This window comes from Homo sapiens, chromosome 2 (assembly GCF_000001405.40).
Source record: "Homo sapiens chromosome 2, GRCh38.p14 Primary Assembly".
Lineage (NCBI taxonomy): Eukaryota > Metazoa > Chordata > Mammalia > Primates > Hominidae > Homo > Homo sapiens.
In genome coordinates this window covers 264,846-279,557 of record NC_000002.12, presented here as the reverse complement: position 1 = coordinate 279,557, position 14,712 = coordinate 264,846, and the positions used below count along the sequence as shown (strand labels likewise).

The 14,712-nt window shown below is 40.8% G+C and overlaps 1 protein-coding gene across 4 annotated transcripts, besides 1 other annotated feature; it reads right to left on the bottom strand.

Annotated features, from left to right (window-relative positions):
* ACP1 (acid phosphatase 1) lies at window positions 1,275-14,611 on the bottom strand. Of its 4 annotated transcripts, NR_024080.2 has the most exons (7): window positions 14,551-14,611; window positions 7,619-7,692; window positions 7,493-7,521; window positions 7,253-7,366; window positions 4,357-4,418; window positions 2,473-2,578; window positions 1,275-2,331 (listed from the first exon to the last, which is right to left on the bottom strand). NR_024080.2 is itself a non-coding variant. In NM_004300.4 (6 exons), exons 1-6 carry the CDS (start codon window positions 14,591-14,593, stop codon window positions 2,254-2,256), a joined length of 477 nt encoding a protein of 158 aa, NP_004291.1. In that variant the 5' UTR covers window positions 14,594-14,611; the 3' UTR covers window positions 1,275-2,253. The 4 variants fall into 4 exon arrangements, 3 of the variants coding, with proteins under 3 accessions (NP_004291.1, NP_009030.1, NP_001035739.1); NM_004300.4 differs by lacking the exon at window positions 7,253-7,366 and having other exon boundaries at window positions 7,408-7,521; NM_007099.4 differs by lacking the exon at window positions 7,493-7,521.
* Window positions 14,501-14,550: an enhancer, noted in NCBI's record as "active region_15215". NCBI's record gives its function as "activates an Ori minimal core promoter by ATAC-STARR-seq in GM12878 lymphoblastoid cells {active_cell/tissue: GM12878}" and the evidence as "EXISTENCE:reporter gene assay evidence [ECO:0000049][PMID:35858748]".

The following is a 14,712-nucleotide window of genomic DNA, read 5'->3' as shown; positions in this document are numbered from 1 at the left end:
CTAGTCTTCAAAGTGACTCTCTACCTCTTTAACAGGTTCACTGTTGGGAATTCGTGACTTCTGATTTACTGAGAGATCATGACACTGGCAAAAGGTCATAGAATATGAAAGCCATAAACAAATGAAAACTTGAAGCCTAAGAATTTCTCTAAGGGATAATTAGCATTTTTTTTAAAGTAAAGGCTACTATATATTGGTGACATAATTTCCTAAGATAGTCCCTGATTTGCTGGGAAATATTCCAAATAAGGTTGTATCCATTATTTCCCAAGCGATTTTGTAATCATGAAAATGCTTAACTAGGAGAAACCTTAAGACTTCTAAGCAGTCTCAGAATTTTAGATGTAGATGTATTTTAAACAAATCTAATTGGATCCAATTTAAAAAGCTGAATTCGGCAAAGCAATGAGTTTCTCCATTCATATGAGCCCTTGTCGGCAGATGGTATCGTCTGGGTGTAGCCATAAGGACAGAATAGTCAAGAGTCCTAGGATTTGTTTGAGGATCTGTATTTATAGAGATAAACATTAAAGAAAAACTATAGGATTTTATTTCCAAACATAAAGGAATAGAAGAGTAAGAAATTTTGACTTTGAGATTAAAAGCAATTACTGAATGAAGAGAACAGGGTGTAACTTTTGAAGTGCTCTTATTTAATCCTGTTTTCTAATTACAGCTCATTACTTGACCTTTCCTTCCCCATTTTTTATGTTTTAAGGATTTCATGTTCAAATATCCAATCTATTAATATTTAATCCCCTCAGTTTTCTGTATGTCTGAGTAATTCCAACAAGAGCAAGACTCACTGGGTTTGCAAACTTTCTTCCTATGAAGACAGCCTGGCACTTCCACATGGTACAGTGGGGAAACTACTCACTTTCATCTGGCAACAGCTTATCCTCCAGATACTAGGGAGTCAAGGATCAAACGTGTCTCCTCCCCATGGCACTGCCTGGGACCCTCATGATACTGAGGTCAGGAGTGCAGATGTCCTGGCCAGGCAGCTGTGCATCACTGCACAGGAGGGCACAGCGTAGAGGCAACATGTCCAGAGGATGGTACTGGGCAAGGACAGTTCCAGCTGTAGAACCTCAAACTTCCTTCAGAAACTAGACATGATGACATGGGGCAGCAATGTGCTTATTTTCATCATTTTACTTCCTTATCCTGAAGATAAAATATGCACACCTAACATCACAGATCATGTAAAAAGGACAATACAATGTTTTCAAATGCTTCCTTACCTGTCAATAAAAAAACAGGCAGACACCAGATTTATATCTCTAGTTGTATTTTTATAACTCCCCAGTTTATTTTGAAATATTCATGATTTTGACATTATCTCAAAATACACAGAAATTACCTTACATCTGCCTATACATTTATTAAATGCTGATGAAGAATACTTATTCAATATTTAAGCATGCCAAATAATAACACTTTTCCCAACTTTTAAAATTATTTTAAAAAATAAGCCAATTTATATTGGACATTTGGGTTACATGTGCATATAAAAACAGTCATATTCCTCAACTGACCATAGACTAGCATACAAGTGTCCTTCTTTCTGGATGTAATTAAGTTTCAGAGGCAAAGTGGTTCAGATGGGAGCCAATGGGCTGACCTCCTCATGAAGTAAACTCGACAAAAATCATGAAGTATTGAAGGTGCCAACGACTGATTCCATAAATGTTTCTCTCTTCCCTATCTTTTCAATATACAAGTGTGCACTATGGGTGTGTAGAAATTAAAACACTTCTAATCTAGACTGTGAGCTCCTACGGAGGGGACTACTGTCAATCCACAAAAGGCCCTAGGGAAGAGAGAGGTAGCACTGGGGAGCAGAGGGCACCTGCCCTCCAGGCCATCCACACAAACCTACTGAAGAGGTAGACTCGATTATCTAAGTCTCAACAGGCTTAGATGTTGACCTGGGCCTTCAAGTGAGGTTTTCCTTCATTGTTTTATGTTGCTTGTTCTACTATTTTTGTAACTGGGGCAAAGTGAGATGTTCAACTAGTCTAAGAATGCTTAAAATACCCCATAAGCTGTCTGAATCAAAGATTTTTATTGATTCTCCTGCCAAACACAACTGATTTCCATCTACAATTACTTTTTAAGGTAAGAAACAGTAAGTCAACTGAACAAAGAGCTGGGCTTTGGGCCCTGGAACGTGATTACACACCGACTGAGAAATGCAGGACCTCAGGGTGGGGTCTAGTCAGGCTGGCCGCAGCAGGGCACGAACCTGCCTCAGTGGGCCTTCTCCAAGAACGCTCTGCAGCACCTGACACACTGCTGGTACACCGTCTCAAAGTCAGAGTCATTCCCCTAAATGGACAGGAAAAAGAAGAAAATGGCAAAACCTGCATAACAAAAACATCCTTAACACAATCTCATCTGTTATTTAATATGGCAGGATACAAATGTGTTGGGTCTTCATATTAGCCCTAAAACGTGAACTGTACTTACATAATAGGGATCTTCAATAATAAGTTGTTTTTGTGGATCATAGCTCCCAAGTAGTTCAATTTTAGCTTTGCAGGTTTTAACTTGATTACTTTTTCTATTCAAATCTCTGTAAAATTGAAATATGAACTTAGTTTTCTGATCTATGGTTTCAAGTTAAACAGGGACATCTGCTAGGGTGTTCTGAAACATCCATATCAAAATCAAGACAGAATGACCTAATTTGAAATGAAACGGAACACTCAGCAGGCCCGTGTGGCCCCTTCTGCAGCTGTATGCCACTGCCCTCTCTCTAGGCAAGACAGTTTGCGACAGCAGCTTATTCTCACTGATTCTGTTACACAAAATATACAATAATTATATTTTCTCCCACAAAATACATTTTAAGACAATCAAGTTTCAGAGATAAAGGTCATAGAAAGGAACCCAAAACACCATCTGAACCAGTCCCAAAACAGAGGGCTACCAATTCCATCCTCAGGTGTCTTGACACAGCACTTCCCACAGCACGACCCACTCCTTAATTACTCTTCCATCTTTTATTCCTTAAGCCTCTGCCCAAGCTGAAAACTCAGCTTCACTCTAGACTTCCACCCTTAGCTTTCACATTGCTACAAAAGAAAAAGGCAAACTTAACTAAGCGCCTCCATTTATTTAACAAATTTCGACTGAGCACCTGCGACAGATGAGTTGATGAGTCAGGTACGTGCTTTATGTGGGAACGGAACAGCCAAGAGCTCCCATGCACGAAGTTTTACAGCTCAGGATTAGGTGCAGGAATGAGAACTGCAGGCAGGCCTAAGTCTAATGCACAATCTGGCCTAATGACAGGGCAGCAGAATACCTCTATCAAGAAATGAATTTAAGCTGACCCACGAGGGGCAAATAGGAGCCGAATGACCCAAGAAGCAAGGAGGAGCTTCCAGGCAGAGGAACAGCACGTGCAAATGTGAGGCTGCAGGAACTCCACTTGCCCCACACGCAAAGAAACACGGTGCTCAGTGCCAGTCAAAGCAAATGGGGTCTCCTAAAAAGGTGTTTTTACGATGCCTATGGGCTATGGTGTCAGCAAAAACAATGAGAACAGAATAAGGACTGAAAAATAAAAATTAAAAAATACATGCATTTTAATGAAGGTCCTAATTAATAAAAAATAATTGAAACTGGTGCATCCCTATCTGTTCATTTGTACAAAAGTAATTAAAAGCACAAATAGTTTATCTTCATCAAAAACATGAGATATTTATGAATAAGTAGTGATGCAAGTCAGAATCCTGGAGTGACATTAAATTATGATCCGTTCCCGATGACGCCTTGAACATGGGACTGGGGCAGGTCAGGAGGGTGGTGACTGAGGCAGGGGTGCATACAGCAGGGCCCTTCCTCACTGAGCCTAGGCTTAAATCCCATGACATCCACCACATGCTAGCTGTGTGAACTCGGGGACATAACCTAACATTACCGTTTCTCACTTCCTTCTTTTACAAGATGGGATAATAATAGGAACCTATGGTTGCAGAGCTTTGACCTGAGAATCAATAAAACACTGCCCTGCCCAGGAATCATTACAGCAAAAATATCAAAATCGTTCTCATGCAGAACAATATGCTTGATACAAAACTATAACAGCCAAGCTAGTTTTCCAATTAAATCATGCTATTAACAACTAGACTTTCCCTTTTCTAAGGTGTATTTCCTTGTAAATACCTAAGAGACAATTCTAGATTACTAAGTTTTTTGCTGTTCTAAATAAAATAATTCTACATATGGTGACCATCACTGACTATTAAAACCTTTAAAATAGAAAAAGTAAATCTGGACAACAAATTACTTGGCCCACTGCTGAACTGAGAGTTGAACAGAAATATTCTTCAAAAACAGGATTACCTCAGATTGCTTTCATCCATACATAGTATATAATCAAATGTGGCAAAATCTTCTTTGGTAATCTAAAATTGAATAAGAAGTCAAAACACAGTGTTTATACCATTCAAGCCTAGAGGATGCAAAGCAATACTAAAAGAAAAAAAAAACTGCTGTATTTGAGCCTGTTACTCACTAATAAACAATTAAATAATTTTTAGGGTACTTTTAAGTTAAAATAGAGTTAACCTATTTCTCAAAATTGTACTGCAAAGAAATTTTGTATTATAAAGTTCCATACAATAATCATAAAATAGTATAATGTGTAGACACAATGTTTATACATCGGCTTCAATTCCTTAGTAGCAGTGTATAATACAGTCAACATACTAAAATGTCACATATTTAATCCCCTTCATTATTCTACTCTATTTTTCATTCCACAAGCACTGAACATCCTGGGCCCCAGTAACAAACACCAAGCTAAGTGGACAGAGCCGCGTCCCATGGAGCTGCCCTTCCACATGGGGGCAGGCAACACACAGGAGGCACAGATGCCCTGGAGGAAATAAAGCAGAGAGGAGATACATACAGCTTTGGGGCAGGGAGGAGTAAAAGTATTAAGTTGGGTGGTCAGAGGTGGTCACTAAGAAAGAAACACAGGAGTGATAACTGACAGTCCTCCTTTATTTTGATTGACTATCCATAATTTAAACCTCACACAGAAGAGAATGCCACTCAGTATTTCTACTGATTGTAACCTGAAAGCTTATGATTGTTTTCTGATATAATCTATAAACACACCTACTTAAAATACAAATGAAAAGATTATTTTGTGAATTTCGACTACTATAAATAATGGCAGAATAAGAAACATAAACATACGTACTGCGGAACAAAGGTGGAAAGTGTATACCTGTTCTTCTAAAAAATGAGAAACTTTGGCTTTTAGTATGCACTTCCAGTAGCTAGAAAAGACTGTATTTCGTCAACACTCCCATGACATTGACTTATTTCAAAATTGAGAATAAGTACAATACTGAATTTTTTCTTTTTGTTTTTAGAGAAAAGGTCTCACTCTGTCACCAACACTGGGGTACAGTGGTGTGATCATAGCTCACTGCAGCCTCAACTTCTTGAGTTCAAGCCAACCTCCTACCTCAGCCTCCCAAACAGCTGGGACTACAGGCATATGTCATAGCACCCAGCTAATTTTTAAAATTTTTTTGGTAGAGATGGGTCTCACTATGTTGCTCAGGCTGGTCTTGACCTCCTAGGCTCAAGCAATGTTGAGCCTCCCAAAGTGTTATTAGGATTATAAGTGTGAGCCACCATGCCTGAACAGTATTATATTATTTCTCCAAATTAGTTATGTGAGAAATTCCCTAGGATTTAATACTAAACTTGTTTTAAATTCTGGACTAATTGTAAATTTTTCATAAAAAAAGACTTAGTAACTGTTACATAATTTTTAGATGTTACAATAATTGAGAAAGAAACAGCTATAACTTATGTAACAAATGCACAATAAAGGATTTCCACTTGCAGCTATAAATGAAACAGCTTGTGGCAAATCACCCCTACTACTAAAAACAACTAGAAACGCCATATAAAAAACCAGTGCTGCAGAGACAGTCGGGCTTTGTGGCCACCAGGCCGCTCTGGCTGTGCTGCTCTAGCACAAAAGCAGCCGCGAACTACAGGTGAATGAGTGAGTCTGGCTGTGTTCCAACAAACACTGTTCATAAAAAAGGTGCCTCAAAAAAAGGTGCAGGCCCCAATCTGCAGACTCCTGCCACTTGCCACTTCTCTTCCTGCTAAAACTGGAAAGTGATGAGACCTCAGAACAGGGATCTCAAACGGTTCAGTAGCAGAACTCTTGAACTCTGTAAAATTATTTAAATCCTATGTTATGGTTTGGATGTGTCCCCCAAAGTTCCTTTGTTGGAAACTTCATCCCCAATGCAACAATAGTGAGACGCAGGATCTTTATTAATGCCACTATCTTGGGAGTGGGCTCCTGACACTGATGGGTCCTCTCTCTCTCTCTCCTCTGTTTCCCTCTTCCCGTTTTTCTAGTTCTCGCTCTCACTCACTCTGGGGCACTCTCTTGACTCCTCCACCTTCTACCACAGGACGATGCAGCAAGAAGGACTTCACAGCCCCATGAGCCCCTTGGCTTTGGACTTCTCCAAATAAATGTATTTTCAACAATGGCCAGTAGAAACTGGCAAGGTATGCAAATCCTGAAGAGATGAGGATGGATAAATTGTATAAAAATGTTGAATCACCTGACCAATGAAGATTCCATTTCCGAAAAGGTCAGTCCCAGAGTACTTCATTTAAATAAAGAACTCTTAGAAAAATCAACTTTAGCTTCTAATTCATAATATAAAGACAAGGTTATCTTCAATTGAAATTGCAGAATTTGATTGTGACTTTATTAGACTCCAAACTTAAGTGTGGCCCAATAGACTATAATTATATATCCATAATGTTGCTGGTATTACCCTATATTACTAAGGCACTTTACAGTTGAAAAAATGTTTTTGTATATATTATATAACCTCATTCTAGCAACAAACTTGCAATATCAGCAGGATGATTACTATGGCCTAAATGTTTAATAAAAATTATGCAGGAAGGAACAGAAGACAGAGCACCGCTCAGCCCCAGCTCACAGTCAGGCTCTCTCATTATAAATTACCTAGCTTTTATGTGCATTTTAATAAGTAAATTCCAAAGTCAGGCAAGTCTTTCAACACCGTGCAACCAGAAGTGAAACAAAATGGACACACCATAGCTGGTTAAGCTCACCCTAAATAAACACATTCATTAATATACAAGTCTGGTTAATCCTTTCGCTACTTCTCAAGTTACTGGACTCTATATATTAGAAATTGAACAAGAGCTTGTCTACCTGTCTTGCTTTATGGGCTGTGTGAATGCCATGATTTCTTAGGCAGCTCACAGCTCTTGGGTCTGGGGACCGGCCCACGTTCCAGTCAGAAACAGCACCGCTGTCAATGACCCACTGAAACACAAAACACACAACTTCAAGTCCAAGGACGGTACCTGCCGGGCAACGTGGCTCATGGGAATGCCGTGCCTCTTCATGCAGCTCTGCCCTCGGTAGTCAGGGGGGTTCCCTATCTCATACCCGGAAGTTGCCGCGCTGTCTACCCTCCACTGCAGGGGAAGAAACATGGAATTTTTTTTTTTTTTTTGCAATTTCCTGCCCAGAGGAGTTCAGGTTGGCCTCTTTAAGATAATGAATGGTACTTACATTCTCTGAGATGTTTTGATCGGTTACAAGTTTCCTGAAAACTGCTTCTGCAATGGGTGATCGACAAATGTTACCTTTAAAAAAAGGGAGGGGTGGGGAAACAGGGTTAGGTTGGATGGAAGGGCACATGCCAGCTCCCCTTCTTTACACACCTGACACACGGGGGCTGTGCTATCCCTCAGGAAAAACAAAGGCCAACACTATCCTTTGACGCCTTTGTCCAACCAGTGAGGGTAGACCCTGCTGGAGAACAGCCTATCAGGCTCAAGTTCAGTGATTTGACACCAACCAGCCAAGTACTCCAAGTACAGATGACAAAGATATCAGAAAAACAATTTCAACAAAAATTATTGTTTAAAGAGTTGCTACTAATGATCCAGGAGTGAATCACGAAAATGAAGTGGGTTGCAACCAGCTTATTTTAAAATGAAATACAACAGAATAAAAATAAAATACAGTGGTCTGTCCCTCAGTAGACTCAGGAGCTGGTTCAGGACACCCTCCCACCCCTACCCAGTATACCAAAACGTGCATACTCAGGTCCTATAGTTGGCCCCTGAGAATGTGGAGCCCAAGTATAGGAAAAGTCAGCCCTCCATACAGATGGGTTTCTCATTCAGACAACACGGTATTTTCCATCTGTGCTTGATTAAAAAAATTCCTCGAATAAATCCTTCAAAGTTCAAACCCCTGTGGCTGAAGGGTCAACTGTATGTATTTTCAAGTATATCACACATAAGGATGACTACTGTTTCACAAAACAATACACAAACACACAAACATGCATTTAAGCATAAACAGCGATTCAACACCAACATTTACTGAGCGATCACATGCAAAGCCCTGAGCCCAGGGATACAGATCCAGGCATTAGCAGCCCAAGGTCAGGGACACCACTCTCCAGACCACGATGTCGACATCAGGGCCATCCTTACTTTAGACCAGCAAGTGAGAAATCCAGGTTCCCCAGGGCTCCCTCAGGTTTGATAATTCCCTAGAATTACTCCCCAAACTCAGGAAAGCAGAACACTTACCATTACAATTTCATTATAGTAACAGCAACAAAAACAAAAACAAACAAACAAACAAAACAGCCAAAGCAAGTGACCTATAGGGCACATTCTGGGAGGTTCCCTAACAGGTAGCTCCACTGTCCTCTGGGACACCTTACTCTCCTGTCATCAACATGAGACAATATTCAAAGAGCACTGCCAACCCAGGAAGCTCCTCAGAGCCATAGTGCTCTGAGGTTTTATTGGGGTTTTCGGAGGGAGACACAATGGGTTGAATCACTGGCCATTCAGCTGAACTCTATCTCCACTTTATTTATTATATTTATTATAATAAAAGTGGGAAAATGAATGCTGATAAACAATACACTACAGCAGCACAGAAAAAGAACGATGCTACAAAGCAAAAACAAGATATAAGAAAATTTCTTACCAGAAAAAAGAAAGATTAGAGATGATATTAAAAGGATGATCAGGATCTTAATGGACAGAGGAAGGGAAAGGCATTTAACTCAGAGGGATTGTGGCACTAAGCAGGTGAGGCTGCGATGCTTCAGGTACAGAGAGCCAGTGTCTGGAAACTGACGGGCTGGTATACAGGAGCCCTAAAACACTGGGCCAACATTTGAACTTTGCGTAGCCACTATGAGGAGAAATAGAAAGTCCTATGGAAAAGGGTAATATGACTTATTCAACAAACATATTTTGTATGCCAACTCTATGTGCCAAGCACTGTGCCCTAACCTGAAGACAGAAAGTTGTTTAAAACACAGACCCTTCCTACAAGTTACCAAAATTACCGGCACAGCTAAGGAAACACTAGAAGAGCACATGACTGAATTGGAGAGACCTTGTAAGAGGCTCGTATGAAGGAGCAAATACAAGACAGTGTCAGAGTGGAAAGGTGTGGCAGCTTTCCTCACCCATCATAAAGGTCATGGAAGATACTCCTGTAACAAAAGACAGGTTAACAAGAGCCTTCAGAAATGAAGACCCAAAGACCCAGGGAAACGGTTTTGATGCTTAGATGACCAATGCACAGCTGTGTAGAAATGGCACTGGACAAAAGGAAATGATCCAATGGTAGCAGACTGAGGGAAACCCAGCAGGGCCACAGCATTTCCTCCCCCAGGAATGAGGCAGGGCCCCTCTGAAATGCTGTCTTCAAGAGAAGGCAAAAGGGAGAGAGTGATCTTTCTAGGTTTTATGGCTTGCTTTGCAGGAGAGGAGTTCTAGTTTCTATGATCTGCGCTGGGGAAGATAAATGATGGTTTCTACGACCTTGCTTCTGGGGCTGCTCTGAGGCCTTCCAGTCTCCTTAATGCCAAAGCACCACACTGAGTCCAGACATTAGGAGCTGAATTTAGGAAACAGATACGAAAAAGAGGAACTGTGAGAATAGGCAGCACTAACTAAGAGTTTACTCTTTATCACTATTAGGGTCTTCTGTTTATGATAAACAAATACAATGAGGATCTTCTAGTGTTGTAAAACACAGCTAATTCCCTAGTTCAGAAAACCAACTCACTGCCTTACTACAGCCTTCAGTTTCTACATTGTAAGACCTAAGCATATTACGTACTTTTTTCCCACAGAGACTGTAGTTTCCACAGCAGTAAAAAATCTTACCTACAAACCATAAAGGGAAAGACAACAAATTAGCCTTGAATACCCTCTATATGCTAATTTGTGTTGTGAAGTTTTTCCTTTCGACATTCTAAATTTTGTTTAGTTTTCTAAACAGGTATTGTCATCAGCACTATTTTAATTATTGAAAGGCTTCCCATGGGTGTGTAACTCTTTTACTTGTCACCATATACCCTGGGAATATTTTTAACAGCAAACATTGTATTCCAAATTAAGACAATTATTATTTTGGATCTGTAGAACAACAGATGCCTAGTATCTCAGCATCTAAAAATATAATAAAGACTAGCCCCACACGTTTACAAATAATTATCTTTAACTGTAAAATAACAGCTTACTTTCCCCACAACAATATGAAAACTTGCATTATTAACTGTCCTAAAGGCTAGCAGTAGCTTGCCCTGTTGATTTCGAAAGTTGATGCCACCAAATTTTGTTATGAAAAAATGGAGCACCCCGGTCATCAGTGAAACACTGCATGTACTTCAGGTTTCGCCTATCAAACAAGTTCTAAAAACAGAACATTCCATCTTCAAATGCCTTTAAAAAATGTTTCAATCTGTAAAGTCTCAAGTTTGTCTTTTCCAAATTAGGCAGACTATTTTATACCCTTCTTCAGCATCTTCAATTCAAGGATGGAGACTCATAAAAGGCAGATAGGCTCTGGGAGGGTGGGGCTGTGTCTGCTATACCTGGTAAGAGACCCAGCACCCAGTATGGGTGTAGCCCAGAAGTAAAGTGACTCCACCAGCATGTGCTATCTCCACCAACCATGCTGGCTGGGTCATGGCTCCTGCATCATCTTCACTAATAAGTCTCTATTGCAAAAACATAAAGCACCCTTCATAATTGTGCTGTAGTAAGGAGCTCAATTATTTTCCATCATTAGCTTCACCAATGAAAAACCTCTGATGCTTTTCTACACTTCAATCTCAATAGGGTCCAAACAAATGCTTTGAATGAACAAAGTTTTTTACATTTCAAAAGCATACAACTCTTACTGTCCTCTATATGGCTACCAAGTAAAATGCCATTTACCGCTCAAATTCCCTCAGAATGCAACCAGTAAAGGCATGCTCCACCTCCAGTTTCATCTCAAAACAACAGCTGAAACTCTTCTTTTTTAAACTTAAATTTGATCACTTCCCACCTCTGCTCAAAACCCTCCAATGTTTATTCAGAGTAAGCCCAAGTCTTCACATGGCCTCCCAAGATCTGGACCTAAAACAGGGGTCTGAAAATCGGCTCATGGTCCACTGCCTTTATGTACAGCCCACAGCGGTAAGAATAATTTTTACATTGTTGAGTAGTTGGAAAAAATCTAAAAGTAGAGTACCTTGTGACATGTGAAAATTATACAGAGTTCCATCCAATTCTGATGTCCACAAATGAAGATCCACTAGAACACAGCCAGGTTCATCATATGGATGGCTACTTTGTGCTACACCCTTTCTGTATGTCATGTGAAGCCAATCTAAAATAATTATAATCTGGTTCTTTAAACAAAGAGTTTGCAGACTCCTGCCCTAAAGGACCAGTGTATATAAGGAATTAACTTCTCCCTATACATCTACAATGGAAGCACTGAGAAAACAGGCGCTCAAATTATCTGCTAAATTTTCAGGTATAGATGAGGAATCCTGACTGAGAAAAACTATCTGGCCACTAGGCCCAGCCACTGCAGCTTCCCTGCGGTTCATGACCATGGCCAGTATTCTCCCTTCAAAACTTTTACCTGCTTTCCTCTGGGTTCAGGATGCTTCTCCAAAATATCCTAGGCTTGCTTCCTCACCTCCTTCAAGTCTTTACTCAAAAGTCATCTATCAGGTGGGGCCTTCCCTGACCATCCCACTCAAAACTGCACTCCACTCCCATTCCCCTTTTCTGCTCTATTTTTCTTAATCTTCACATCAACCGATTGAGCACATCAATTAATACTTGCTGGTGACTGAGAGAACGTGAGCTCCAGAGAGGCTGGGATTTTTGTCTGTTGTGTTCACCACACCACTTAGAGGAATGCATGCCATATAGTAGATGCTCAACAACAACAAAAAATCACTGAATTGTATTGAAATACAATAGTCCCCTCTTTTCCAAGGTTTTGCTTTCCATGGTTACCCCATGGTCAGCTTCAGTTGGAAAATATTAAATGAAGAATTCCACAAATAATTCCTAAGTTTTAAATTGTGCACTGTTCTGAGTAGCAGGATAAATTCTCATGCCATCCCATTCCGTCCTGCCCCAGAAGTGAAACACGTCTTTGTCCAGCATATCCATGCTGTCTATCCACCTATTGCCCTCTAGCTTATCAGATCCATTGTGATGCTATCACAGTGCCTGAGTTCGAGTCACCCTTAGTTTACTAATAATGGCCCGAAATCATAAGAGTAGTGAAGCTAGCAATTCAGATACGGCAAAGAGAAGCCATAAGCACTACCCTTAAGTAAAAAGGTGAAAGTTTTTGACTTCTTATGGAAAGAAAAAAAAAACTTATACCGAGGTTACTAAGATCTACAGTACGAACAAATCTTCTATCCATGAAAATGTAAACAAGGAAAAAGAAATTCCTGATCGTCTGCTGTCTTGCCTCAAACTGCAAAAGTTGCGACCACAGTTTTAAATGCTTAGTTAAGGTGGCAACGGTATTACATTTGTGGGTGTAAGAAACGAGCAGACACATGTTCCAATTGACAGCAATTGGGTTTGGTACTACCCACAGTTTCGGGATCCACTGGGGAGTCTTGGAATGTATCCCCTACAGCTAAAGTGGGACTACTGTATATGCAAGGATACACTTCCCCATTAACAGCAACCATGATGCATTATGCCAGCATAATCGACAATACCAACCAAAACTATACAAGGGAATGGAATATTATTTAGTAACCATCCTTAACCAAACTACTGTTTAATAAACTTATTGATTTCATCATTCAGCCTTCAATGAGTCTTAAAAATCAAATGATGCCCACTACCAATGTGAAACAAGGTAAGCCTTCTAATTCGTCTTTCACAGAAGTTAACTTCTACAAAACCTAGTCAGCGTTTATCATATATTGTCCTAAAGCTGAAAACAAAATGAAAAATAAGCCACAGTTATTGCCATCGACAAAATTAAACTCAGCTGGGATTTCAACAGACTATCAAATAATTATAGTAAAATTTGTGTAATAAAAGATGTCGATAAGGAATCACACCTTTTCTGTATTACATCTTTTACTATATTACACAAATTATAGTAAAATTTGTGTAATAAAAGATGTCGATAAGGAAGCAACTCATGATCTGGGAAAGCAAAGGAGGAAATATTTAGGTTTGACTTTATAAAATAAAAAGGCTTTCCAGGCAAAATGCATAATGGGCACCCAGCGATGAAGGCTCAGTAAGCATGTGAAGTGCTACCGAACAACGAAAGGTTCTGGAAGGCAGTGTCCCGAGGGTGTGAGCAGGAAAAGGTACAGGAGATAAAGTGAGGAGTCTGTAAAAATAAACAGAAACTGCAGGAAATGCAAACTCACAGAAGGTTTTAAGTAACCGGACTACTGACAATTTAGGCCTTCCTCTCAGGGTGGAGGCACCGAGGAATATAACCTTGTAGTGCTACACCAAAGGAAGATCCCTGAAGACCAAACGGAAAATAAATTATGTTTGAAGTAAGGCAAGCTAAGTGTTGAAATTCTAGGAGTGAAAATAATTTAAGCTGGAAAGTTCCTGAAAAGCCATTAATAAAATACACTTTCATTTTTCATGGGCCAAAGTTATATAGGGACCTCCAGGTCTCCTTTGCTTGGCTTTTACAATCAAGAAACCCGAAACCGTAAAACTTCATCTCCCTTTAACTCAGATCCCTATCTAAGCATGGGCTAAGGAAACTAGCAAACAAAACAATGTTGTCATAGGACTCAGGAGGCCCCTAAGAGACCACATCAGTCCGACAACCTCCAGGCCTACCTGGGCCCATTGGAGGGGAACGAGAGGGATTCTAGTAGTCGCAAAGAAAGTACCTTGGCTTGTAGGGGCTGTGGCTGCAGATGCCAAGAGCCCCGGATATATGGCAGGCGCGAGGGGACCCAGGTTTAGCGGGCAGGCTGGGCGGGTGCACGGGGCGGATGGGGAACAGGGGCGCTGCGGCACACTCCTAGAACACCCTAGGCCTCCCAGTCCCTGGCCTCCTCCCCCTCATGGTTCCTAGGCCGGCGGCACAACCTACAGCGCACAAGCCCGATCCAACTCTCCAGAGGACGTCAGAACATGAGTAAGTCGGCGCCCTCTTACCCAGACACACAAACAGCACGGACTTGGTAGCCTGTTCCGCCATCTTCCCGCGCGCAGAGGCGCCGAGACACCGCGGCGTTCCGCACGCCGACGCGGCGCAGGCGCACTGCCACCCTCTTGCCCCGCGCGCCTGCGCAGTCCCGCACCAACGCCAACAGGGCA

Bases quoted from the DNA above. Each gene is read 5' to 3' on its own strand.
- ACP1 (NM_004300.4), bottom strand. From the start codon at position 14,593: ATGGCGGAACAGGCTACCAAGTCCGTGCTGTTTGTGTGTCTGG. The intron at 7,522-7,618 runs GTAAGTACCATT...CTTCCCCTGCAG, and splicing joins ATCAAAACATCTCAGAGAAT to TGGAGGGTAGACAGCGCGGC. The intron at 4,419-7,407 runs GTACCGTCCTTG...ATTCAATTTTAG, and splicing joins TGAGCCACGTTGCCCGGCAG to ATTACCAAAGAAGATTTTGC.